Below are 27507 nucleotides of genomic sequence, written 5' to 3' on the forward strand. Positions count from 1 at the left end.
AGACTGGTCTCGAACGCCTGACCTCGTGATCCACCCGCCTCGGCCTCCCAGAGTGCTGGGATTACAGGCGTGAGCTACCGCGCCCAGCCCTCGTCTGGTACTTAAGAAAAACCTGTAATCCCAGCTATTCAGGAGGCTGAGGCAGGGGAATCGTGTGAACCCGGGAGGCGGAGGTTGCAGTGAGCCAAGATCGTGCCACTGCACTCCAGCCTGGGTGACAGAATGAGACTCCGTCTCCAAAAAAAAAAAAAAAAAAAAAAAAAGTACCAGAAGAGTTGGTACCTAGAAAGAAATTAATCTACAGAGTGGTGAATTATGTTGGATTTTAGGCACATTAGGCCTAACCCGACACAACCTCCTCTAGGGGCCCTTACCCTTTCCAACAAATGGCCTAGAATTCTTTTCTGTCCAGGGGTCAGGAAAAACAAAGTTGAGAAGAAGTTTGTTAAAGTTCTCTGAATGCTTTAAAAGGGGAAATTTGCAAGACTAAAGAATGGATTGGAGGGGAGGTAGGTTTGGAGGAAGAAGGGGGTGGGGCCCTGAAAAGGCTTCAAGGAGCTGCTCTGAGCTGAAAGGGGATAAGGATCTTCTTGGAGAACTGGGGCATCTGATTGGAACACCTGCGAAAGCTTAAGCGATGAGGTTGTGCCCCTCTTGCAGTACAAGGCTGCAAATTATCCAAGCCAAGGGCAGAAATCTCAATGTCCTTGTTACTCCATATGGCCTTGGGATTCTCCCATGGCCCTCCAGTAAAGCGCTGCTAGGTCCCGGAAAGGCTGTGGCAGTGGTGGGGTTGGGGTTAAGGATAATCCCACTCCTTGGCCAGTGGATGGACAGTCACCCATGTCTCTACTGTGGACCACAGGACAGCGAAGGCACCAACTGGCAGACAAGTCCCAGGTGGGAGCGAGTATAAGGATGCGTCTCCTTTTCTTCCTTCTAGAGGGTAACTAGGGGGATATGGAGGGAGCATGCACGGTGGGAGGCTGAGGATTGCCACATTCGATTCATGAGTTATTGTTTGCTGATGGGGTCCTGAGATTCTGACTGAGATCTGTAATTCTGAAGCCTTCTCACTCTTCCTGGCAGATGGCCAATGTTTCAGTATTGAGTTTGTAAGGGTGCTATTTATGAGGCAGGAAAAGAAAAAAAAAAATGTGTTGTTGTGTTGCACCGCAGGGCTATCAAGTGTGACCCCAATATATTTCTTTCTTTTTCTTTTTTTTTTTTTTTTTGAGACTATAAATCTCACTCTGTCACTTAGGCTGGAGTGCAGTGGTGAAATCACAACTCACTGCAGCCTTGACTCCCACCTCAGCCTCCCAAGTAGCTGGGACTACAGGCACATGCCACCACTCTTGGCCAATTAAAAAAAAATTTTTTTTAGAGACAGGTCTCCCTGTGTTGCCCAGGCTGGTCTCAAACTCCCTGGCTCAAGTGATCATTCTGCCTGGACCTCCCGAAGTGCTGGGATTACAGGTGTGAGTCACCACACCTAGCTTACCACAGTATTTCTTAAATCTCAGTGGCCAGACCTGGGATAAGTTGCTATTCAAAAGCAGCTTGTAGGTTTTTTGTTTTGTTTTGTTTTGTTTTTGAGACAGAGTCTCGCTCTGTCGCCAGGCTGGAGTGCAGTGGCGTGATCTCGGCTTACTGCAACCTCCGCCTCCCGGGTTCAAGTGATTCTCCTGCCTCAGCCTCCCAAGTAGCTGGGATTACGGGCACGCGCCACCACGCCCAGTTAATTTTTAGTAGAGATGGGGTTTCACCATGTTGGCCAGGATGGTCTCGATCTCTTGACCTCGTGATCCGCCTGCCGCGGCCTCCCAAAGTGCTGGGATTACAGGCATGAACCACCGTGCCTGGCAGAGCTTGTAGTTTTCTGATTTATGTGTGTGTGTGTTTTTTAACTTGGAAAAAAAAATTGTTCTCTTAGGATGTATGATTCGTGTTTAAATGAAGACTGCTCTTTTATTTGGGAGAATCCTCTCCCAGTACTTGAGCGGGCTTCTTGGTTTGGCAAAGGCAAAGCCCAACTCTCAATAGTGAGTGGAAGGGACAGACGTAACTGAACTGCTTTGCACAATAATGCCAATGACTGTCTTTTGTTAATAGGAGTCCTGACTCTTGATTACATTTACGGGGAGTCCAGCCTGAAATAGTCGGGGTAGAGGTAGAGGGAAAAGTCCCTTCTGTTGGCAGCTTGCCAAAGGTGTTACGAGTAAAGGGATGGCCTTGAGGTGAAGGGAATTCCTTTGCGAGACAATAGGCCAGGGACTATAGATGCTACATAATCTAATAGCCACTTCTAAGTCTTCTCAGCTTTGTAATGCCCCAAACTTTCAGCAACAGCCTGGTTGGTGTTTGCTATGCTTAGGGGAATAAGGGAGGCGGGTGTGTCCACACTTAGGATTTGCTTCCATCCTCTAGGATATGACCCCAGCCCCCGAGGCCAGAGTGGTGGTAGCTTCAGGTGTGTGGCTGGTGATTCTGAAGCTCTAGGGGGTGGCTTGCAGCACAATTCTGGAATGCTACATATATATATATATATATATATATATATATATATATATATATATACACACATACACACACACACACACACATACACACACACATGTATTTATTTTATTTATTTATTTTTTGAGACAGAGTCTTGCTCTGTTGCCTAGGCTGGAGTGCAGTGGTGCAATCTCCGCTTACTGCAACCTCCACCTCCCAGGTTCAAGCGATTCTCCTGCCTCAGCCTTCCAAGTAGCTGGGATTACAGGAGTGTACTACCATGCCTGGCTAATTTTTGTATTTTTTTTTTTAGTAGAGATGGGGTTGTCTCACCATGTTGGCCAGGCTGGTCTTGAACTCCTGTCCTCAAGTGATCCGCCTGCCTTGGCATCCCAAAATGCTGGGATTACAGGCGTGTGCCACCACACCCGGCCTGGAATGCTGTCTATTGAGGAAAGGAAGAGGCTGTACTGGGGAGTGCCAGCGTTGAAGTTCAAGCAAGTGTAAAACTCTGGCCTTAACTGAATCACAAGTAGGAAACAAGTTAATCAGGAATGGATTTGTGGGGCATGAAAACCTTTGAGGATTCTTAGGATTGTTTGGAAGAGGGGACTGGATTTTCTATCACTAAATAGGGTGGGATTTGTTTTACAGTTGATAATTTTTTGATGGGGTGCGTCAGGGTCCCACTCTGTCACCCTGGCTGGAGTGCAGTGGCGTGATCACGACTCACTGCAGTCTCAACCTCCTGGGCTCAAGTGATCGTCTCACCTCAGCCTACCAAGTAGTTGGGACTACAGGTGCGTGCCACCACACCCGGCTAATTTTTGTATTTTTTGTAAAGATGGGGTTTTACTATGTTGCACAGACTGGTCTCAAACTCCTGGGCTCAAGCTATCTGCCCACCTCAGCCTCCCAAAGTGCTGGGATTAAAGGCAGGAGCCACCGCGCCCGGCCTATAGTTGACAATTAACTAGAAGTGTGACATTGGAATTATAGAGGGAGAGTAACGAGACTCATTACTTACTAGCCCAGGGTAGGAGACATTAGTGGGCCGCAGGTTTCATCCTTAAATTTCTGTGAAGCCTTTCTTGAGGACATCTGCCCTTTCCTTCTCTCCCTCAGTGTGTGGTTTTCCTTTCTCTGGCTCCCACTGCACTCTGCACATACCTTTATCACAGCAACCACTTACGGTGTATTGTAATTTGTAATTATCTATGTACATGTCTCCAAGTAGACTGACCTCAAGGGCGAGGGACTGGCGCTGGTACTCAGACCCCGGGTTCAAGTTCCAGCCACGTCTCTAGCTAGTTTTGTGATCTTAGACAAATAACTTAATCGCTCTATGCCTCAATTTCCTTGACTTATAAAACTGGCTTAAGACTCTCTGTCACACGCCATTGCTGGGCATATTAAGGTGACAATGCGTGAAAAGTACGAGGCAAAAGGTAAGTGCAAAATAAAGGGCGCCTAAAACGGTAAACGTGTGTTAATTAACCTGATCTACCTTTACATGTGCATTCAGCAAACACTGAGCACCTAATGTCCTCTGGGACCCCGGAACGCCTCCTCCGGAGTGGAGCAGCCTCACATGTGGCCTGTGGGCCTTGTCCCACGGGCCGGCTCCGGATTGGCTCCGCCGAAGAGAAAACCCTGCCGACAGCCCTTCCGATCTCGTCAGCGATTGGGCCGGGACCGTCCCACAATTACTCTTGTTGCTGGGCTCGGAAATAGGGAGCGGTGCTAGGTTGCGCGTGCGCAGATTGAGAATGGAGCTTTCCGGTCGGGCGGGAGGAGGTGACGTCAGGAGTGGTGGCGGGCGGGGGCCTCTGGTAGCCCTGGGGACGCTGTATCTGTGGGCTCTTGAATCGCGTCACAAATCAGCGACCGAACTCTGGCGGTGGTGGTTAAGACGGCGAAGGCGGCAGCGGCGGCGACAGCTCTGGGGTTTGCGTCTCGGGGTGTGTCGGCCGCCGCTGCTGCTTGGGCCTGGTATGTACAGATGGCTGGTTAGGATTCTCGGCACCATTTTCCGTTTCTGCGACCGGTCGGTGCCCCCTGCCCGGGCCCTCCTGAAGAGGCGGCGCTCAGACAGGTGAGACGAGAGGGGGCTGAGCGCCAGCCTGGCCTTACCCCCTCCCCCACAGCGGGCTCCTCGGCCGTGATAGCTTTGATTCAGCCAGGCTCACCCGAAACAGGTCGCCGGGATCCTAGTGACGTAGTCGCTCCCGCCAGGCTGTAGGGAGGCAGCTCCTGATGAAGGAGGAGCTGGTCGTCTTCGTAGCGGCCGGTGATGGCAGGGTCTTTGACATTCTTGTCAGAGGCCAAGCTGGTTGCTGATAACAAATGGGGCTTTGCCGCTCTTAGGCTGAACACTAACATTGAAGGAATACTGTCTTTGTTGTGGCTCACTGTTTACAAAGCACCCTCGCAAGTGTCATCTGCAGACATTAAGTGCAGTTGAAGTGAGATTCATAGCTTGCCCAAAGCCGTTTTGACTGCAAGTACTGTCCTTGCAGCAAGAAACAGCACCTGTTTTGTTCCAAAACAGCTGTCAAACAGTCTGTGTGTTTGGGGCCAGAAGGGTTTTGTGCTTTAGAATTAGTGAATGAGTAAAAAGGCTTAGGTGCCTCACTCCTTTAAAACAATCACTAGTCTGTACTCTTAAATTCGGTTAAAATTTGGGGGAAACGCAAAGCTATTCTTTTCTTTTTTTCTTTTTCTTTTGGTTGAGACGGAGTCTTGCTCTGTCGCCCAGGCTGGAGTGCAGTGGTGCGATCTCGGCTTACCGCAACCTCCGCCTCCTGGGTTCAAGCGATTCCCCTGCCTCAGCCTCCCAAGTAGCTGGGATTGCAGGTGTGCACCACCACGCCTGGCTAATTTTTGTGTTTTTAGTAGAGATGGGGTTTCACTATATTGGCTAGGCTGGCCTTGAACTCCTGACCTCAAGTGATCCGCCCACCCCAGCCTTTGGAAGTGCTGGGACTGCAGGCATGAGCCACTGCACTCAGCCCCAAAAGCTATTCTTATTTAGCATCTACTCTTTGGAGTGTCCCATTTTATTGTATCGACCTCCTTACCTAAAAATCTGGAAAATAAAATACTATACAAATTCTATGCCCCCTCTTCAACTTTAGTGATCAAGTGTTAATTTTTTTTTTTTTTGAGAAGGAGTCTCGCTCTGTCCCCCAGGCTGGAGTGCAGTGGCGCAATCTCGGCTCACTGCAAGCTCTGCCTCCGGGAGTCACGCCATTCTCCTGCCTCAGCCTCCCCAGTAGCTGGGACTACAGGCGCCCGCCACCATGCCCGGCTATTTTTTTTTTTTTTTTTTTTGAGACAGAGTCTCATTTTGTTGCCCAGGCTGAAGTGCGGTGGCACGATCTCAGCTCACTGCAACCTCTGCCCACTGGGTTCAGGCGATTCTTCTGCCTCAGCCTCCGGAATAGCTGGGATTACAGGCGCCTGCCACTGCACCCGGCTTATATTTTTTGTATTTTTTTTAGTAGAGACGGGGTTTCACCATCTTGGCCAGGCTAGTCTTGAACTCCTGACCTCGTGATCCACCCGCCTCAGCCTCCCAAAGTGCTGGGATTACAGGCCTGAGCCACAGCGCCCGGCCACTACCGGCTAATTTTTTTTTTTTTTTTTTTTTTTTTGAGGCGGAGTCTCGCTCTGTCGCCCAGGCTGGAGTGCAATGGCGCGATCTCGGCTCACTGCAACCTCCGCCTTCCAGGTTCACGCCTTTCTCCTGCCTCAGCCTCCCGAGTAGCTGGGACTACAGGCGCCCGCCACCACGCCCAGCTAATTTTTTGTATTTTTAGTAGAGACGGGGTTTCACCGTGGTCTCGATCTCCTGACCTCAGGATCCGCCCGTCTCGGTCTCCCAGAGTGCTGGGATTACAGGCGTGAGCCACCGCGCCCGGCCCTCGCCCGACTAATTTTTTGTATTTTTTAGTAGAGACGGGGTTTCACCGTGTTAGCCAGGATGGTCTGGATCTCCTGACCTCGTGATCCACCCGCCTCGGCCTCCCAAAATGCTGGGACTACAGACGTGAGCCACCGGGCCCGGCCGTTAATTTCATTTTTTAAATTAAGCCTCAATATCAAGAAAAGTGGAAGAAGTGTTCATTTGTGGGAGCTTGAGAGAACAAGATGTCTAATACATTAGTCTGAGAATGCAGGTTATTGATGAGATTGGTTGTTGGCTAAATTGCATCGTGTGTTCCAGAGATACATGGTTTTGCCTTATTTTTCTCTCCTATCTTTCCGTTGGGTTGATATAAGGATCATTTGAGAACGTGGTGTAAAGTGCCTAAACTGATGCTTAATGTATATAAGGGTAGTATTTGTCTGTCCTACTCTGGGGCCTTTTGCAGAGTCTGGTGCATGATAAGCACTTGGTCCCTATTTATGGAATAAGGGAAAGCTAATTTCCTCTCCCTTGTCCTCTCCTTGATGTGAATCCCTGCTAGTCAGTGGAACATGGTTTGGCGATCAAAACCTTGATCTTTACTATACTTTAGGTGTTCACATCCTTAATCCAAAACAACACTTCTCAGTGTAAACCAATTTTCAGTCAAAATGAAGCCCGGCAGGGCTTGTTGGAATGTATAAAGTTATGAGCTGAATGGAATCCTGGGATCTCATTCTATTCATTTTTTTTTTTTGCATGTGTGAATATAATTGATCATAAGGGTTCAGAGAGATGATGAGTAATATACTATGACCCTTTAGCATTCTTGACATCTGGGTCCTGAAACTTTCCTCAATTCCAAAGTTCTTTATTACCATCATAATGTAGTTTGCGTGATAAAAATGAAGTTAAATATAACACTTGATTAAGATTTGTCTTTTTTAAGTTGTAGAACAGTTTTTTTTAACTCCCTTACACACACACAAAAGAAAAAACAGTAAAAAAGAATTGTCTTTTAAGGCTGTTCATATTAATACTGTCACCTAAAGTAAAAGATGGCTTTCTTTGGGGATCATTTTCAAAAGGAAATTGCTTGTTTGTTGTTTTTAAATCATTTCTGGAGCGAAAGAGAAAATACTGTCCTAAACTCTTACCTGGGTTCATTTACTAGCTAAGTGACTTTGGCCAGTTTTAAGTTTGTACTTTAACCAGATGGCAAATTATTATTTGGTAAGAAGTTTGTTTCTCTCTCAAATAGTTGAAACTGTAGCAGTAAGTCTTCGCATGTGAAAAGCCTACTATAGAATAGCATTCTCTCTTTTGTTTTGCTTTTATTTTTAGTTTTATTTCTTTTTAAAACAAGGTCTCACTCTTTTGATTAGGCTGGAGTGCAGTGGCATGACCTGGGCTCACTGCAGCCTTACTTCCTGGGCTCAAGTGATCCTCCTGCCTTAGTGTAGCTGGGACCACACTCACTTACCACCAAGGCTGGCTAATTTTTTATTTATTTTTTTATCGTAGAGATGAGGTCTTACTTTGTTGCCCAGGCTGATGTCAAACTCCAAGGCTCAAGCGATCCTCCCCCTTGGCCTCCCAAAGTGCTGGGATTACAGGCACGAGCCACTGTGTCCCACCAGCATTCTCTTTTAAAACATCAGTTGGATCTCATTTTATGACAAAGTGATAGAAGGGGGATGTGTTATATGAATAGTAAGTTTACTTACAGAAATGAATGTGTGTGTAAATCTATATATATATATTTTTTTCTTTCTCTTTTTCAGCACTCTGTTTTCTACAGTGGACACTGATGAAATACCAGCCAAAAGACCAAGATTAGGTACTGAATATAAATTTTAAAAATTTTTAGTTTTTAAATAGGAAAAATATATGCATGGAACAAAATTCAAAAGGTAAAAAGTATCTGGTAAAAAGTAAGTCTTGGCCGGGCGCAGTGGCTGTAATCCTAGCACTTTGGGAGGCCAAGGCAGGCGGATCACCTGAGGTCAGGAGTTTGAGACCAGCCTGGCCAACATGGCAAAACCCTGTCTCTACTAAAAATACAAAAATTAGCTTGCTGTGGTGGCAGGAGCTTGTAATCCCAGCTACTCGGGAGGCTGAGGCAGGAGAATCGCTTGAACCTGGGAGGTGGAGGTTGCTGTGAGCCAAGATGGTGCCATTGCACTTCAGCCTGGGGCGACAGAGCAGGACTGTGTCAGGAAAAAAAAAAACAAAAAAACTTAAGTCTCTTTCCTGGCCCGACGTGGTGGCTCAAACCTTTAATTCCAGCACTTCAGAGGCTGAGGTGGGAGGATCACTTGAGGTCAGGAGTTTGAGACCAGCCTGGCCAACATGGTGAAACCCCATCTCTACTAAACATTAAAAAATTAGCCAAGTGGTGCACGCCTATAGTCACAGCTACTCGGGAGGCTGAGGCACGAGAATCGCGTGAACCTGGGAGGCGGAGGTTGCAGTGAGCCAAGAATCTGCTACTGCACTCTGCACTCCAGCCTGGGCGACAGAGCGACACTCCATCTCAAAAAAAAAAAAAAAAAAAAAAAAGAAAGTCTCCTTTTTTTTTTTTTTTTTTTTTTTGAGACAGAGTCTTGCTCTGTCGCAGGCTGGAGTGCAGTGGCGCAATCTCGGCTCACTGCAAGCTCTGCCTCCCAGGTTCACGCCATTCTCCTGCCTCAGCCTCCCGAGTAGCTGGGATTACAGGCACCCACCACCACACCTGGCTAGTTTTTTTGTATTTTTAGTAGAGATGGGGTTTCACCGTGTTAGCCAGGATGGTCTCCATCTCCTGACCTCGTGATCTGCCCGCCTCGGCCTCCCAAAGTGCTGGGGTTACAGGCGTGAGCCACCGCACCCAACCCAAGAAAGTCTCTTTCCTATCCCTTTCTTATCTTTTCTAGAGGTAACTACTGTTACCAGGGACTTGTCTAATCCTTGCAGGTAAATAAGCCTAGGTGTAGACTGTGCATTTTAAAATTCTAAATCATTCTACAAAGAAAAGATACTTCTTATTTATTTATTTTTTGAGATGGAGTCTCGCTCTGTCACCCAGGCTGGAGTGTAGTGGTGCAATCTCGACTCACTGCAACCTCCACCTCCCGGGTTCACACCATTCTCCTGCCTCAGCCTCCTGAGTAGCTGGGACTACAGGCGCCCGCCATCATGCCCGGCTAATTTTTTGTATTTTTAGTAGAGACGGGGTTTCACCATGTTAGCCAGGATAGTCTCAGTCTCCTGACTTCGTGATCCACCTGCCTCAGCCTCCCAAAGTGCTGGGATTACAGGCGTGAGCCCCCGCGCCTGGCCCTACTTATTTTTAAGGAGGAAATGTTGTAAATGTTTCAAACTGAGGTGACTCTAGTTCAGATGGCTGAGGGAACCCATCTTTTCTATTTTTTTTTTTCGAGACAGGGTCTCATTCTGTCACCCAGGCTGGGATGCAGTGGCATAATCATGGCTCACTGCAGCCTCCACCTCCCTGGGCCCAGGTGATCCTTCCATCTCAGCCTCCCAAGTAGTTGGTTGGGCCTACAGGCACGTTATCACACCTAGCTGATTTTTGTATTTTTTTTGTAGAAACAGGGTCTTGCCACATTGTCCAGGCTGAAAATAGGCAGCAGTGGCATTTTGAAAGAATACTCCTGTCTTTAAGAACCGGTAATATTTCTTTTTTTTTTTTTTTTTTTTTTTGAGACAGGATCTTGCTCTGTCTTGATCTTGTCATCAACAATTTTTTTTTTTAATTTTGTAAGAGGCAAGGGTATCACTGTGTTGCCCAGGCTTCAGTGCAGTGGCACGATCGTAGCTCACTGCAGTCTCAAACTCCTGGGCTCACACAATCCTCCTGCCTCAGTCTCCTGAGTAGCTGGGACTATAGGCCCATACCACCACACCTGGCAAATTATTTTGTATGTGGATACTGAGTCTCCATATGTTGCCCAGGCTGATCTTGGAACTCCTGCCCTTCCAAAGTGCCGGGATTATGGATATGAGCCACTGTGCCCAGCCAAGTCTTTTACTTCAGTATATCTGAATGGATAAAGAAAATAAAAGTAGATTAAAGGAAAAAGGCATAGTAAAATGCTATAATAATATATTCCTCTTTCTCAAAAATGATTATAAATTTGGGTCTACCTCCAGATGTGGTAATTGAGTGTGGACATATTTGTGTTAATATTTCGTTTAAATTCAGTGAGTACTTATTGAGCATGTCTCAGTGCTAACCAATGTGTTAGGTTTTACAGAAAATACAAAAATTAGTAAGACAGGGTCTCCTTTTTTTTTTTTTTTGAGATGGAGTCTTGCTCTGTTGCTCAGGCTGGAGTGCAATGGCACATTCTCGGCCCACTGCAACCTCCGCCTCCCAGGTTCAAGTGATTCCCCTGCCTCAGCTTCCCAAGTAGCTGGGACTACAGGTGCCCACCACCACACCCGGCTAATTTTTGTATTTTTAGTAGAGACAGGGTTTCGCCATGTTGGCCAGGCTGGTCTCAAGCTCCTGACCTCAAGTGATCCACCTGCCTTGGCCTCCCAAAGTGCTGGAATTACAGGCGTGAGCCACCGTGCCCGGCCTGGGTCTCCATTTTTAAGGACCTTATATGATAATATGGTAGGGGGTATAAGACAATCACATAATAATGCTAATGTCAATGAAAATATAAAAAATAAAAAAACAAAGATAGTAACAAAATCCTATCCAATTTTCAGCTCATCGAGTCTCAGTAAATGTTTGCGGGAGTTAGTATGAGTTAGTATGTTAGCCCAGGTCTTGAAGGATGGATAGGATATCAAAGGAGAGCAATAGGAAGGAAAAATATTCTAGGCAGAGGGAATAGTATGGGAAAGTTGTGTAAATTCAAGAAATAGTGAATAGAGCTCAGGGAAAAAAAATGGCTGAAGACAGGTAGATCAAATTATCGTTCTGTTTTGTTTTGTTTAGTTTTTTAATAGAGACAGGGTCTTGCTATATTGCTCAGGCTGATCTCGAACTCCTGGGCTTAATTAAGTGATCCTCTCACCTTGGCTTTCCAAAATGTTGGGATTACAGGCGTGAACCACCATCCCCGGCCAAGGATTTTCAAATGACAGGAATTTATACTAAATTCATTAGAACAGTATTTCCCAAAGCACAGGATAGATACCAATTTAGGAAATGATTTTAGGGGATTCAACATTCACAGCATTATGTAACATTTGAATGATGATTATGTACTAAGAAAGGTGTATCCTTTTCAGTTATTTATTTGAGGTGCTCACATCCTGTTTATTTCACACAGAAAATCTTGATTTAATGCTAGTATATCTTCAATACTTGTCTAATATATGCTAATCTCCCATTTTTTAACAGGCCCAACTAGAACTTAGTATTATTGTGTTTTCATTTCTTTTTTTTTTTTTTTTTGAGACGGAGTTTCTTTCTCGTTGCCCAAGCTGCAGTGCAATGGTGCGATCTTGGCTTGTTGCAACCTCCACCTCCCAGGTTCAAGTGATTCTCCTGCCTCAGCCTCCCGAGTAGCTGGGATTACAGGCGCCCACCACTATGCCCGGCTAATTTTTGTGTTTTTAATAGAGACAGGGTTTCACCATGTTGGCCAGACTGGTCTCGAATTCCTGACCTCAAGTGATCGCCCGCCTCGGCTTCCCAAAGTGTTGGTATTACAGGCGTGAGCCACCTCACCCGGCTGTGTTTTCATTTCTTTATAAGGCAGGTGATGTTGGCTTTACATATACAGTAGTAATTTAAAATTATCTTTTTTTTTTAAGCCAAAAAAGGAAGTCAGTTTTAAAGAAAAATATAAATAGCTTGTACTTGGATGTGGTTAAAAAAAAAAAACACACACAAACGTTGGTATTACAGAAGGTTTCTGACTTAATTATTTAGGACAATCATCTGTTTTATGGATTCTATGTTAAGGATCACTTATTGCATCATTCCCATTAAATATGTAGTATGATTTTCTGAATGGCAAATTGTAGAAGGGAATCTAAACCAAAGGGTAAGCGGTGGGTAGCAGAGTTTGTAAAGGCCTGTAAAGTGCTGCCCAAGAGAACTTCCTGCAGTGATAACTGTTGAGCACTCGAAATGTGGCTAGTTCAACTGAGGAACTGAATTTTAAACTTTATTTGATTCTAATAAAACTTTAAGTTAGGTAACCATATCTGGCTACTAGCTACTGTGTTGGACAGTACAACTCCATTGGTTGCTTTTGAGAGAAAAAAAAGCAAAGCAAGGGTAAAAGAAAAGAAAGAAGACCTCAGAATTTCAGGCTCATGATCTTTTTTTTTTTTTTTTTGGGACAGAGTCTCGCTGTGTCACCCAGGCTGGAGTGCAGTGGCACAATCTCGGTTCACTGCAACCTCCACCTCCCAGGTTCAAGCGATTCTCCTGCCTCAGTCTCCTGAGTAGCTGGGATTACAGGTGTGCACCACCATGCCCAGCTAATTTTTATATTTTAGTAGAGACGGAGTTTCACCATATTGGCCAGGCTGGTCTCGAACTCCTGACCTCAAGTGATCCACCCTCCTTGGCCTCCCAAAGTGCAGCTAATTTTTGTATTTTAGTAGAGACAGGGTTTCACCGTGTTGGCCAGGCTGGTCTTGAACTCCTGACCTCAAGTGATCCACCCACCTTGGCCTCCCAAAGTGCTGGGATTACAGGTGTGAGCCACCGTACCTGGCTCAGGCTCATGACCTTAAAGGTGAAAGAGATTTTAAGAGATCTATGTAGTCTAGTTTCAGGGAAGTAAGGTGATCTTTTCCCCATTTTACAGATGAGGCAGGCCTTCTGTTTTTTAAAAAAATCAGTGAGATCTTTTGACATAATCTCAGGGGCATACCGAGATTTTGATAACATTCGTAGGAAAATAAATATTATGATATTGTTTAGTAGCCACAATTTGCTATGTTACCAAGAGGCTTCTTGTCCTCTAGAGTCTGGATGACAGACTGTGGGTTAAGCATCAATCGCTAAAGCTCTTCTTCTCCTCCTTAGAAAGTGCAGCAGAGTGTGTACTATCCCTCAGCACTATTAGAAGGGGATAACCTGGAATTCTCTGATTCCTAAAATGAAAAACAACTCATTTGCATAGTTTGGTACTTATAACTATTAGCAAATTTCTCAAATTGGATTGTGCTTTACCTGGCCATTACTTTTTCCCTTTTGTTTGTTATTCCCCTATGTTTCTGGAAAGTAGTTTACATGTTCTGGAGCACTGCTTAAAAGCTACCATTGCAGTCTATCTTTCTCTAAAGCAGAATGGCTAATGTGATGTTCTGTTTTTCTCAAACTAGCGTCTTCAAATACCCTTAATTAGGACATAGGATATTGTAGAAAGCTTACATCAGATATATAGAAAGTGAGAAAGAGGTAGTGTAATAAAAGGAGGAAGTGAGGAAAGCACTGAAACCTACCCTTTCCTTTTATTTTTGGTGGCAAGGAAGGGTGAGCCTGAGATTTTTTTTTTTTTTTTTTTTTGAGACAGGATCTCCCTCTGTCACCCAGACTGGAGTGCAGTGCCGTGATCTCACCTCACTGCAACCTCTACCTCCCGGGTTCCAACGATTCTTCTGCTTTAGCCTCCCAAGTAGCTGGAATTACAGGCATGTGCCACCAGGCCCAGCTAATTTATTTATTTATTTTGAGATGGAGTCTCACGCTGTTGCCCAGACTGGAGTACAGTGGTGCCATCTTGGTTCACTGCAACCTCCGCTTCCTGGATTCAAACGATTCTGCTGCCTCAGCCTCCAGAGTAGCTGGGATTATAGGTGTGTGCCATGACGCCCAGCTAATTTTTGTATTTTTAGTAGAGACGGTTTCGCCATGATGGTCAGGCTGGTCTTGAACTCCTGACATCAAGTGATCTGCCCGCCTTTGCCTCCCAAAGTGCTGGGATTACAGGCTTGAGCCACCGTGCCCAGCCTAAGATCTTCTAACACATCTCCACTAGAGGGATAGTCTTGTTCTATCTTAGATGTTTAAAAGCTGCATATTTTAGGCCAGGTGCAGTGGCATACACCTGTAATCTCAGCACTTTGGGAGGCTGAGGCAGAAGGATCACTTGAGCCCAGGAGTTCCAGACCAGCCTGGGCAACATAGTGAGACCTGCCTCTACCAAAAAATCAAAAAAATTAGCCAGACATGGTGGTGCATGCCTGTGATCCCAGCTACTCAGGAGACTGAGGTAGGAGGATCACTTGAGCCTGGGAGGTTGAGGCTGCAGTGAGTAGTGATCATGCCACTGCACTCCAGTCTGGGTGACAGAGTAAGACCCTGTCTCAAAAAAAAAAAAAAAGCTGCATATTTTATACTTTACTTAGCCAAGCTATAATACGGGCTTAGTAAATAGTTGTTTAGGGCAACTACAGTATATTGTTACCTGCCTGGGAAGTAAGGACAAGCTAGTGAGACTATGACAGTGCTTCCTGTAGAATTCTGCCGTACTCGGTGGCTATATGCTCCTTGTTGTTTAATCATGCCCTCACCTCTGTGGTAAAAGTTTATTTATTTATTTATTTGTTTATTTTTTGTGAGACGGAGTCTCATTCTGTCATCCAGGCTGGAGTGCAATGGCACGATCTCAGCTCACTGCAACCTCTGCTTTCCAGGTTCAAGCAATTCTCCTGCCTCAGCCTGCCAAGTAGCTGGGACTAAAGGCGCACACCACTGAGCCCAGCTAATTTTTGTATTTTTTTTAGAGACGGGATTTCACCATGTTTGCCAGGCTGGTCTTGAACTCCTGACCTCGTGATCTGCCTGCCTCGGCCTCCCAAAGCGTTGGGATTACAGGCGTGAGCAACCACGCCCAGCAAAAATTTATTTTATATATCCTGGAGAACTCTGCTTAAAAGTTGTCATTTCAGAACATTTTGAGTGTGTGTGTGTGTGTGAATCAGTATGGATTTGCTAAAGTGATGGTTTTATGTTTTTATATTCAGATGTTTTATTTAAAAAACACAATTACAATACTGGTATTCCAGTTATTCAGCTAGAAAAATATTATTTATTTGTTTATTTATTTATTTATTTTGAGATGGAGTCTCACTCTGTCGCCCCGGCTGGAGTGGAGTGGCGTGATCTTGGCTCACTGCAACCTCCGCCTCCCAGGTTCCAGCGATTCTCCTGCATCAGCCTCCTGAGTAGCTGGGACTATAGTCGTGCACCACCATGCCCAGCTAATTTTTTGTATTTTCAGTAGGGACGGGGTTTCACTGTGTTGGCCAGGATGTTCTCGATCTCCTGACCTCAAGTGATCCACCCACCTCGGCCTCCCACCAAAGTGCTGGGATTACAGTCAAGAGCCACAAGTCTGGCCCAGTTTTTTTTTTTTGAGATGGAGTTTTGCCCTTGTTGCCCAGGCTGGAGTGTAATGGCGCGATCTTGGCTCACCACAACCTCTGCCTCCTGGGTTCAAGCGATTCTCCTGCCTCAGCCTCCTGAATAGGTGGGATTATAGGGATGCGCCACCACGCCCAGCTAATTCTTTGTATTTTAGTAGAGATGGGGTTTCTCCATGTTAGTCAGGCTGGTCTCCAACTCCTGACCTCAGGTGATCTGCCCACCTTGGCCTCCCAAAGTGCTGGGATTACAGGCGTGAGCCACCACACCAGACCTAGGAAAGGATTATATTGATAAATACCTTTTTATTTCAATGGTTGAAAATAGGACTTTTTTAAATTTTTGTTTTTCAGAGACAGAGTCTCACTCTGTTGCCCAGGCTGGAGTGCAGTAGCACAATCACAGCTCACTGTAGCCTCAATCTTCTGGGCTCAGGTGATCCTCCCACCTCAGCCTCCCAGGTAGCTGGGACTACAGGCGTGTGATACCATCCGCAGCTAATTTTTTGTACAAATGGGGTTTCTCCATGGTGGCCCAAGCTGGTCTCGAGCTCCTGGGCTCAAGCAATCCTCCCACCTCAGCCTCCCAAAGTGTTGGGATTACAGGTGTGAGCCACCACACCCAGCAAATAGAACTTTTGATAAAAATTGAGAGAGGCTCTTTCCAAGATATCATTTTATTTTTTAGCTGGAAGTTTATTACTTTATATTTACAGTTTGTTGACACTTTCTAGATTGCTTTATTCACCAAGTGAAAAACAGTCTCTACAATGCTGCCAGCTTATTTGGATTCCCATTCCAGCTGACCACAAAGCCCATGGTAACTTCTGCTTGTAATGGAACACGGAATGTGGCCCCTTCAGGAGAGGTCAGTGGGGATGAGACTCCATTAGGAATACTGATCTTTATACTTAATCATTATATTTTAGAAAATTCTCTCTTCGAGAGTTAATGTGTATAATTACTTTTTTCCAGAAATATCTGTATCTTTATTAGCTGTGCTATAAAGGCCAAGAAATTAAAGGTTAATAAAATGAACATTTAAAACATGTTTACAAAGAGCTAAATATTATTACATATGCTTTCTTATTTAAGGATGTACAAAGAAACTAGAATTGTTATTTCTACATCATTTTGTGAGTCTTGACAAGTTAAACCTTAGGTCTTATTGATGGTATCTCTTCTGTGAGCTACCTAAGAAAAAGTTATCTTTTCATAATAGAAAGTTATTTAGGTGACAAAATTTAGATGCTACAGAAGTGATTCTGTTTGATTTTAAGGTATTTTCGAACTCTTCATCTTGTGAACTGACAGGTTCTGGATCCTGGAACAACATGCTGAAACTGGGTGAGGTGGTCAAAAATATTTCTGTTTCCCGCTACCTCCTTCTGCCCATTTTTTTCCTACATTTTGAAAATATGAAAGGAAAACACTGATTTGAATTGGGATGAGAAAGACATTCTTTCTACCGTTCTAAAAAGCAAATAGCTTTTCTTCAGAATTGTTGTCTTTGAATTTACTGTTGTTTTTTGTTTGTATTATCAGTGTCCTCAATGTGACTTAGATCAAGGTCATATTAAAAAGGTTCATTCATTTAAAAAAAAACAAAAAAGCAAAAACATTTCCTGAGAACTTACTCTGTGCCGGGTGCTGTGCTTAAGTTATCAAGAATAACAAAATAATAAAACCTTATTCATGTCCTTTAGGAGTTCATCATCTAGTTGGGGAGCAGCCTTAGGTTCCCAGTTATCACAGTTTTATGGACTAGGGACTTCCATGTCATCCTTAGATCCTGAAGTGGAATTGTCATTATTATATATATGCACTATACAAAATGCTATGGTGGGGAAAAGTAGGAAGAAGCCAGAATCCTGCGAAATAGTTGTGATGTCTGCCACTCAGGAAGGCTTGTAAAGTTGGGGGGGAAGGAAGTTAAGGAAAATGAGCTTAGAGAAGTTGTAGGTTTAAAATTCAAAAGTGGAAGAAGATAAGGAAATGATAAAAGCCTTAGAGTTGTGCTTTTCAAACTGTTTTAAAAAGTACCTCTAGGAGTAGAGAAGAGCAAAGGAGAATAAATACATACCCCTGTGTCTGAGAAGCTAGTTCCTAAAAACTTGATATTTCTTTCTTTCTTTTTTTTTTTTTTTTTGAGATGGAGTTTCGCCCTTGTTGCCCAGGCTGGAGTGCAATAGGGCGATCTCGGCTCCAGCTCCTGGGTTCAAGTGATTCTCCTGCCTCAGCCTCCCGAGGAGCTGGGATTACAGGCATGCGCCACCACCCTGGCTAATTTTGTATTTTTAGTAGAGACTGGGTTTCTCCGTGTTGGTCAGGCTGGTCTTGAACTCCCGACCTCAGGTGATCCGCCCACCTCGGCCTCCCAAAGTGCTGGGATTACAGGCGTGAGCCACTGCGCCCAGCCCAAAGATGATATTACTTTGAAGCCTTTTATTTCATTTAAAAAGTTAATATAAATTGAATTTCATCATCTGTTTGGAATATTTGTTTAGAATTGTTTACCGTTAAGATTGACACATATGAAGGATGGTAGATTTGTGCCTGAGATGCTGGCACTACTGTGTTTCTGTGAGTTTTGTGTAGTCTAGTCAGAGAAGCCCAGGTATTCCTAGGGCAGGTTTCTTGTGTAAAGAGGTCCATAATCGGTTATCTGCAACCCCTGGGAGCCAGATGTGTTTAGGAATTCAGAATTTTTCATATTTTAGGTATGTTACCGGCCAAACATACGGCTGGTTTGAATTTGAATAATTTACTCCAATTGATTAGATTACAGAGAGTTATAATCTTTGAGTTCTTCATGGCCTCTTAACAGTCCCATCAAGCAAAACAAGCAAAGCCTGCCAGTGAATTCTGTTATTACCTATCTGAGATCAAAAACAAACTAAGCCCTATTGCTTTCCTTTAACGTCTACAAAATTTGTGCTAGACTCCTGTGCTATTAATAGAAATTGAAAAACAAGATGTTGATTTAGCTCTATGATGTAGGTTGCTCACAGATTTTTTTTCTTTCCTTATGCAGACTGTTTGCAAGTGATTTTTCATTTTACAATTACAAATGCATTTTTTAAATAGGTAATAAATCTCCTAATGGAATAAGTGACTATCCAAAGATCAGAGTGACAGTTACCCGAGATCAGCCACGCAGAGTCCTGCCTTCCTTTGGGTAAGTGTTAAATTCTTTCTGTAAATGGAAACTTAGCATTTATTAGGTGCTCACTCTTGCTAGGCAGTCTCACTTTTGTTGTATTATGTAGTCCTGCTAAGCGCTCTGAGGTTAGTAACTTGCTGAATGTCATGCAGCCAGTGAGAGACTTGAACTTAGGGGTGTGTTATATTTTCTTTTCTTGTCTTTTTTTTTTTTTTTTTTTTGCGATGGAGTTTTGCTCTGTTTCCCAGGCTGGAGTGCATTGGTGCGATCTTGGCTCACTGTGACCTCTGCCTTCCAGGTTCAAGCAATTCTCCTGCCTCAGCCTCCTGAGTAGCTGGGATTACAGGCACCCCCACACCATGCCCGGCTAATTTTTGTATTTTTAGTAGATATGGGGTTTCGCTATGTTGGCCAGGCTGGTCTCGAACTCCTGACCTCAGGTAATCCACCCACCTTGGCCTCCCAAAGTGCTGGGATTACAGGCATGAGCCACCGCACCTGGCCTTACATTTTCTACTGTATTATATGCCCATAGCATCTGATTTTGAAAATTGTTTTAGAAAGAATTGCCACTTACTTTATTCTCAACTTAAAAATATAATTATGCATACAGAAAAGTGCTGAAATTATAAGTGTACGTGGCCTGGTTAATTTTCATACACTGGTCATATCCATCAGTTGTAAAATGTTATTATTAATAGTTTTCTTACTTTCCTTTGTAGAATTTTTATTGCTTGGACATTAGACCTTCTAGATTGATCTAATTTTCCCATACATTCTCTCCTTTTGTTGTTCTTGCTTTTTTTTTTTTTTTTTTTGAGATGGGGTCTTGCTCTGTCACCCAGGCAGTTTGGTGGCACAGTCTTGGCTCACTGCAGCCTCCGCCTCCTGGGTTCAAGCAATTTTCCCACCTCAGCCTCTTGAGTAGCTGGGCTTACAGGGGCGTGCCACCATGCCCAGCTATTTTTTGCATTTTTAGTAGACACAAGGTTTCACCATGTTGGCCAGGCCAGTCTCAAACTCCTGACCTCAGGTAATCCACCCACCTCAGCCTCTCAAAGTGCTGGGATTACAGGCGTGAGCCACTGCGTGCGGCCTTCTTGCTCTTTTTAAAAACATTTTTTACTAATTCTTTTTTGACTGTCAGTTTTTAAGTTAGAAAAGTTCTCCCCCTGCCTATTCCCAGTGTTTTTTTTCTTTCTCTAAGCATCTTGTTCTTATAAGGATGCAAAATCTTTCCTTATCTCTCTAAAGCTGTTTATTATTTTAAAATATGTTTTGAGTGCTCCCTTCTGGTTTATGCCGTCTCCCTCCATGTTTGTTTATTTTGGTCTGATCTTTGAAGTTAGAGTCTTTATTCAAGTACTTGGTACTCCTTGGCTATCCACTTATATTTAGGAATGAGAAACTAAAAACTAGCGCCCTCTGGAATTGAATAAATGGCTGATTGTAGGGCTAGGAAAGAAAGTATAAAGTGAGTCTGAACATCTTGTGCCAGAAAGTAAAGGAGTGTTCAAAAACTGGGCATGCCACCCTGACAGAGGAGGAGATTTCAAAGGGGCTTTCACTGGCCAGATGGGATAATTTAAACATCAAAATGAATAAAGACAGGGACTCAGATGCTAATAAATAAATATATAGTGTCGAGGAGGGAAAGATCTTTATAGTAGAATGCCAACTAGTAAGTGTGGAAGGAATGATAAAATTAGAAAATCACCATTTTGTAACTGTCATGGTAATAACTGATATGGGCAGGAATCATCAATTGAGCCAAAACTAGTAAATACAAGTTTGCAGCCTGGCCAACATGGCGAGAAATCCCGTTTCTACTAAAAATAGAAAAATTAGCTAGGTGTGGTGGCACACACCTGTAGTCCCTGCTACTTGGGAGGCTGAGGCAGTAGAATTGCTTGAACCCGGAAGCAGAGGGTGCAGTGAGCTAAGATTACACCACTGCACTCCAGCCTGGGTGACAGAGTGAGACTCTGTCTTAAAAAAAAAAAAAAAAAAAAAAAAAGTTTGATGAGGCACTGGTATTTACATAAACTCAAAATATCTCCTTACACGTTACTTTTTTTTTTTTTTTTTTTGGGATGGAGTCTTGCTCTGTCACCCAGGCTGGAGTTCAGTGGCATGATCTCGGCTCACTGCAACCTCTGCCTCCTGGGTTCAAGCGATTCTCCTGCCTTAGCCTCCTGAGTAGCAGGGACTACAGGGACATGCCACCACGCCCAGCTAATTTTGTATTTTTGGTAGAGATGGGGTTTCACTATGTTGGCCAGGCTGGTCTCGAACTCCTGACCTCAGGTGATCCAACCGCCTCGGCCTCCCAAAGTGCTGGAATTACAGGCGTGAGCCACCACGCCCAGCCCACATTACTTATTACTTACAAAAGGAAAAATAAAGTGGAGAAGCACGACTGACACCACCTTAACCAAAAGATCAAAGTGAAGTTGCCAGCAGTTGGACAAACTGACATCATGGCATTCAAATGTATTGCACTGAGAAAGACATCATAACTAAATGCAGCATTCCTGCAAAAACGATAGACTCTAATCATGAGAAAGCTGGTTAAACTGAAATTAAGGTCCATTCTACAAAACCATAGGCCTGTATTCATTAAAAAGATAAAGAAAAGCTGAAAAATTGTTTCAGACTGAAGGAGATGAAAGATACCTGGTAACTAAATGCATGCAATGTGAGATCCTGGATTAGATTTTAGATGGGACAAAATTGCTATGAAGGTTATTTTTTAATAGCTTCAGAGATATTTGAATACGGGCTACATATTACATTGTACTATTGCAAAAGTTCCTGAATTTGGTGATTATATTGTGGTTATATAAGAGATGCCCTTGTTCTTAGGAGATACACAGTTAGTCAGGGGTGAACTTATTTTCTAAGCATTTAATGCTGTTTCCCTGTAAGCACTGCTTAGGTGCATTGTCCACATTTTGAAATGTTGGTTTTCATTTTCATTCAATTTAAAATATTTTCTAGGCTGGGTGTGGTGGCTCACACCTGTAATCCCAGCACTTTGGGAGGCTGAGGTGGGCAGATCACTTGAGGCCAGGAGTTTGAGACCAGCCTGGCCAACATGGTGAAACCCCATCTCTACTAAAATACAAAAATTAGCTGGCCATGGTGGCACACACCTGTAATCCCAGCTACTTGAGAGGCTGAGGGAGGAGAATCGCTTCAACCCGGAAGGCGGAGGTTGTAATGAGCTGAGATTGGGCCACTGCGCTCCAGCCTGGGCGACACAGTGAGACACCGTCTCAAAAAAATAAATAAATAAATAAGTAAATAAATATTTTCTAATTTCTATTTTACTTCCTCTTTGACCTGTGATTTAGAAGGATAGAAATATGTTGTTTAATTTCCAAATATTTGGGACTTTGCAGATATCTGTTATTGATTTCTAGTTTAATTCTATTATGGTTAGAGAATATGCTTTGTATGATTTCGTTTCTTTTAAGTTTTTTAATGTTTGTTTTCTGGCCTAGAGTATGGTCCAGTTGGATGATGTTCCATGTACACTTGAAAAGAATGCATATTCTGCTGTTGTTGGGTAGAATGACCTAAATGTCAGGTCAGGTTGGTTGATAATATTTTACAGGTGTTAGTGATTTTTCTGTCAACTTCTTTATTGATTGATGAGTCAGGAATTGAGTTTTCTACCACAATTGTGGATTTCTCTATTTCTCCTTCAGCTTTGCTAGTCTTTGCTCCATGTTTTTTTGTCTCCATATATTTTGAAGCTCTATTAGGCAAATAACCTGACCTAGATTCACCAGTTGTCATTCTGTTACATTTGCTTTCTCATTCTCTCATATATACATATTGTTTTGAACCATTTAAGAGTCTTTGATTCATGTCCCTTTAATCCTAAATACTTGAGTCTGTTTATTTTTTTTCTTTTCTTTTTTTTTTGAGATGGAGCCTTGCTCTGTCTCCCAGGCTGGAGTGCAGTGCCGCAATCTCGGCTCCCTGCAACCTCCGCCTCCTGGGTTCGAGCAATTCTCCTGCCTCAGTCTCTCGAGTAGCTGGGACTACAGGCATGCACCACCACGCCCAGCTAATTTTTGTATTTTTGGTAGAGTTGGGGTTCCACCATGTTGGCCAGGCTGGTCTTGAACTCCTGACCTCGTGATCCACCCGCCTCAGCCTCCCAAAGTACTGGGATTACAGGCGTGAGCCACCGCGCCTGGCCGAATCTGTTTATTTCTTAAGAATAAGGGCATTCAAGACTGGGCGTGGTGGCTCACGCCTGTATCCCAGCACTTTGGGAGGCTGAAGCGCGTGGATCACCTGAGGTCAGGAGTTTGAGACCAGCCTGGCCAACATGGTGAAACCCCATCTCTACTTAAAATACAAAAAATTAGCCGGGCGTGGTGGCAGGCGCCTGTAACCCCAGCTACACGGGAGGCTGAGGCAGGAGAATTGCTTGAACCTGGGAGGTGGAGGTTGCAGTGAGCCGAGATCGTGCCATTGCACTCCTGCCTGGAGGACAAGAGTGAAACTTCGTCGAAAAAAAAAAGAATAAGGGCATTCACTTACATGATCATGGATTACCAACATCAGGAAATTAACACTGATATAATACTATTATGTAATCTACAGGTCTTATTTAAATTTTTCTCTTATAGCTTTTTCTTTTTCCTAATACAGGATCCAGTGCAGGATTGTGTATTGCACATAGTTTTCATGTCTCTTTGATCTACTTTATTCTGCAACAACTCCTTGCCCTTTCTTTGTGTTCATTGGCATTAATATTGTAATTTTGTCTGATATTTACTGATGATTTGTTTCAGATTATGCCTTTTTTTTTTTTTTTGAAACACCACATAAGTGATATTCATTTCAAAAGCATCACCCAAGGAAGGAGGGGCATGATGTCAGTTTGTTGCATTGTTGGTAATGGCAGGAAAGGCAGATTTGTCACCAGCAGCTGTGACTGGGTGGGAATTCCAGGCTTCAGTTCCTTTAGTGTTTATTAATTTAGCATTCAGCAGATATTTATTGAGGGCCTTTTGGCTTAGACCCTGTACTAAGATAACAGTGGTGAAAGGATGTAATCTCTTTTCATGGAATTTAAAGTTTAGTGTGGAATATAGACATTAAACAAATAATCATACCAGTAATGAATTTCAGTGGTTCCAGGTGACTAAAGGAAAAATGCAGTATCAGAAGGGGTATATGCAATAGGAGAGCTAAATCTAGAGTTGGGGTTGGAAATGGGCATGAAGAGGAAGGCAGAGACTCTCTTTGTGTGGCAGCTCTAGTTTAGAAACAGACATTCCATAGTGGAATGCTGCGGTGCCCTGTGCTCTAGGGATAGATCTAACTTTTGCATAATTGTACTTGTCTGACTTGCCAGGAGTAAGCTTGACCTAAAGCAACTTAATCACAGGATGGTCTGGGAGCTTAGATTCCAGCAATTTAAGCAGCTTGGTGATACTTTTTTTCTTTTTTTTTCTGTTGCTCAGTTTTACTTTGAACTCAGAAGGCTGTAATAGAAGACCAGGTGGCCGTCGCCATAGCAAAGGTAATCCAGAGAGTTCTTTAATGTGGAAACCTCAGGAACAGGCTGTAACAGAGATGATTTCTGAAGAGAGTGGCAAGGGTCTGAGGCGTCCCCATTGTACTGTGGAGGAGGTAAGCCTTTTCAGCTTGATTTCTTTAAAAAAAATTTTACAGCTCTTCCCAAGGATGCTGCCTAGAGACACTCAGAATGGTTCAACGTTTGACATACCATTGTAGGTTTTCCTACAATACAGCCTCCAACAAAATGAGGCTGTCTTAAACCCAGATGCACCAAAAATCTGCATGCAGCATGTGCCCAGGCAGACTTTGAGGGGTTCATGCTATGAGACCTAAAGTTCTTATGAGATTGTCCAGATCACATTAGCAAGGCCTATAGCGGCCACGTGTGCTCAGTGAGTCTGTGACAGGATCAAGCATGTTGCTTATCGAGGAGCAGAAAATCGTTGTGAAAGTATTGAAGGCACAGACACAGAGTCAGACAGCTAAATTTAAAAATGAAACTTTTTTCAGAAATAAAAATTAAAAGACTAAAAAGAATTTTTAATGAATATTTTTGGGAGCAAATAATATATCTACTATGTTATATATTTCTTTTTTCCTTTTTTTTTTTTGAGACAGAGTGAGACTCTTGTCACCCATGCTGGAGTGCAGTGGTGCCGTCTTGGCTCACTGCAACCTCTGTCTCCCACGTTCCAGCATATGTTACATATTTCAAAAGGTACTAAAGTATGTACGGTAACTAAATTTCTCAGACTCCCTTCCATACCTGGCTTCCACCACCATGTTTACTTCTAAGCAAGTAACCTCTGATACCTATATGTATTCTTCTATAGATATTCTATATACATATAATTTAGTCAATTTTTAGATGTGGTTATTTTTATTATAAGGAAGAAGAAAGAGTCATATTAGGAAGAGATAAGATTAGATTCTTTTTTTTTTTTTTTTTTTTTTTTTTGAGACAGAGTTTTGCTCTTGTTGCCCAGGCTAGAGTGCAATGGCGCGATCTTGGCTCACTGCAGCCTCCACCTGCCAGGTTCAAGTGATTCTCCTGCCTCAGCCTCCCAAGTAGCTGGGATTACAGGCATGTGCCACCACGCCTGGCTAATTTTTTGTATTTTTAGTAGAGATGAGTTTTCACCACGTTGGCCAGTCTGGTCTCAAACTCCCGACCTCAGGTGATCCACCTACCTCAGCCTCCCAAAGTGCTGGGATTACAGGCATGAGCCACTGAGCCTGGCCAAGATTAGATTCTTTTTGGGTACCTGAATTAGTCTAACTTGCTTTTTTAAAAAAATTTACCAAGTTTTTTTTTATATATAGAGATGGGATCTCGCTATGTTGTCCAGGCTAGTTTCAAACTCGTGGGCTCAAGCGATCCTCCAGCGTCAGCCTCCCAGAGTGCTGGGATTACAGGCGTGAGCCACCGCGTCCAGTCATAACTTGTTTCTTTTTATAAACTTTAGTAACTGTGACTAAGGAAGGGAAGTAAATGGTGTGCATCTCTGCTTTTTCCTTCACCTTTCAGAACACTCAGCATGATGAAGAGTCAATCTTTTTACTTTCCTTTTGAGGTTTTCTTTTATTCCAGGAAAATTTAGAATTATTCCTGTACCTGGCACTCCCGAGGACCATCTGCTATTTCACTTGCCAACAGTTTTCTGAGCCACTTGTTTAATTTAGTTCATCAAAGAAATATTTATTGGGGTCCCAGGTACTGTGCTAGTTGTACTGTGCTAGCAATTCAAGATTAAATGAAATGTGGTTTCTGCCCTCTACGAGCTTATACATAAATAGTTGCTATTTGATAAGGAGGCAGAGAGTAATGGACCATATCCCTGAAAGGGGTTTTAAGATGAGGTGTTAAATATTTCAGTCTCTTAGATGAGAAATCAGAAATGGGACTGAGCCAGTATCTACAGGGGAATATGCAGAAGATATACTCTAGAAATATTGGTAGGTAGTATTAGCAAGGACGTTATCTGTTGATTAAGTGTGATCTAAAGTAGATAGAAGGGTCTGAGTCCCAGATTTCAGTTTTGGGAATCACTATGTGTCACTTACAAAGATAACCCTATGTTTATGGGGAAGATGATGACTCCAGTCTTGGACATTGTTTAAACTCCCTGTGAAACCCACAAGAAAACCTCTCCTGGAAGCTCGTGGATATATGTGATGGAAATTTTGAGGAGACACATTTCTGAATCTTTAACCTGTTGGTGTTATTTAAATCAAGGGAGCTGATGAGATTATTCAGGGAAGGAATGTAGTGCAAGAAGAGATACGGGCAAACCATCAGTATGATGTAGGCAGAAGGAATAATCTCCAGTGGAGACAGAGAAAAAAGAATCAGAAGAGCTTATTGTCTAGGAAAGCAAGGCAGGTCAGCAGGGTGAAATGCTGAAGAGAGATCAAGTAACATAAGGACTGGAAAAGTGTCTATTAAATGTAGCCATAGAGGTTACTGGTGATGTTGGTGAGGCCAATTCATTTTGGAAACTGTATATTCTCGTTATGCAAGCAGATGATTTCTGCTGAGTTTTTTTGTAGTTAACCTAATTCTGTTCAACCCAGTTCTGTCAAAAACCTAGATGCCATCAGAATTTAGCAGATAACATGAATAAAGTGGGCTGGAGAGCAGTGGCCCATCTAAATGGGATAGCCCTACATATAGATTGTGGATTCAGTTGATCAAAGGAGGCTAGATTATTTTTAAAAAATGTATAAAGTTAGTAATTAATTCAAAGAAATATTAAAAACATAGTGCTGGCAAATAAAACACACCTATGGTTTACATTTGGCCTTTTAATTATAAATTTAATGTGCTGGTACTTATCTAACATGCTTTCTTTTATTTAGGGTGTTCAAAAAGAGGAAAGAGAGAAGTACCGAAAGTTATTGGAACGACTTAAAGAAAGTGGTCATGGAAACTCTGTCTGTCCTGTAACTTCAAATTATCACAGGTGACAGTGAGCTAACAGATAATGCTTTGCTAGGCATCTTTTGTTTGTTTGTTTTTGGAGAAAGTATTGGTGGG

General features: G+C 43.3%; 1 protein-coding gene and 1 pseudogene across 3 annotated transcripts in view, besides 6 other annotated features; both read left to right on the top strand.

Moving 5' to 3' along the window:
- Window positions 572–1471: an enhancer, noted in NCBI's record as "OCT4-NANOG-H3K27ac-H3K4me1 hESC enhancer chr3:185300277-185301176 (GRCh37/hg19 assembly coordinates)". NCBI's record gives its function as "activates a minimal SCP1, AML or CMV promoter by ChIP-STARR-seq in naive H9 embryonic stem cells {active_cell/tissue: H9 hESC(naive)}" and the evidence as "EXISTENCE:reporter gene assay evidence [ECO:0000049][PMID:30033119]".
- Window positions 2617–3236: an enhancer, noted in NCBI's record as "H3K27ac hESC enhancer chr3:185302322-185302941 (GRCh37/hg19 assembly coordinates)". NCBI's record gives its function as "activates a minimal SCP1, AML or CMV promoter by ChIP-STARR-seq in naive H9 embryonic stem cells {active_cell/tissue: H9 hESC(naive)}" and the evidence as "EXISTENCE:reporter gene assay evidence [ECO:0000049][PMID:30033119]".
- Window positions 3237–3855: an enhancer, noted in NCBI's record as "H3K27ac hESC enhancer chr3:185302942-185303560 (GRCh37/hg19 assembly coordinates)". NCBI's record gives its function as "activates a minimal SCP1, AML or CMV promoter by ChIP-STARR-seq in naive H9 embryonic stem cells {active_cell/tissue: H9 hESC(naive)}" and the evidence as "EXISTENCE:reporter gene assay evidence [ECO:0000049][PMID:30033119]".
- Window positions 3856–4474: an enhancer, noted in NCBI's record as "H3K27ac hESC enhancer chr3:185303561-185304179 (GRCh37/hg19 assembly coordinates)". NCBI's record gives its function as "activates a minimal SCP1, AML or CMV promoter by ChIP-STARR-seq in primed H9 embryonic stem cells {active_cell/tissue: H9 hESC(primed)}" and the evidence as "EXISTENCE:reporter gene assay evidence [ECO:0000049][PMID:30033119]".
- Window positions 3968–4017: an enhancer, noted in NCBI's record as "active region_20927". NCBI's record gives its function as "activates an Ori minimal core promoter by ATAC-STARR-seq in GM12878 lymphoblastoid cells {active_cell/tissue: GM12878}" and the evidence as "EXISTENCE:reporter gene assay evidence [ECO:0000049][PMID:35858748]".
- Window positions 4058–4457: an enhancer, noted in NCBI's record as "active region_20928". NCBI's record gives its function as "activates an Ori minimal core promoter by ATAC-STARR-seq in GM12878 lymphoblastoid cells {active_cell/tissue: GM12878}" and the evidence as "EXISTENCE:reporter gene assay evidence [ECO:0000049][PMID:35858748]".
- The window catches only part of SENP2 (SUMO specific peptidase 2), a 47257-nt gene continuing 24127 nt past the window's right edge, over window positions 4378–27507 (top strand). For 2 of the 3 annotated variants that reach the window (NM_021627.3, XM_005247690.4), the window contains exons 1-7: window positions 4378–4597; window positions 8197–8252; window positions 16495–16628; window positions 17041–17107; window positions 18848–18938; window positions 24413–24581; window positions 27330–27433. In NM_021627.3, the coding sequence (NP_067640.2) occupies window positions 4497–4597; window positions 8197–8252; window positions 16495–16628; window positions 17041–17107; window positions 18848–18938; window positions 24413–24581; window positions 27330–27433 (722 nt within the window). In that variant the 5' untranslated portion in view covers window positions 4378–4496. Of the gene's footprint in view, window positions 4598–8196; window positions 8253–16494; window positions 16629–17040; window positions 17108–18847; window positions 18939–24412; window positions 24582–27329; window positions 27434–27507 lie in introns of those variants that run through there. The other variant, XM_005247691.4, reaches the window with a different exon arrangement.
- RPL34P10 (ribosomal protein L34 pseudogene 10) lies at window positions 24658–24957 on the top strand (annotated as a pseudogene).

This window comes from Homo sapiens, chromosome 3, assembly GCF_000001405.40.
Source record: "Homo sapiens chromosome 3, GRCh38.p14 Primary Assembly".
NCBI lineage: Eukaryota > Metazoa > Chordata > Mammalia > Primates > Hominidae > Homo > Homo sapiens.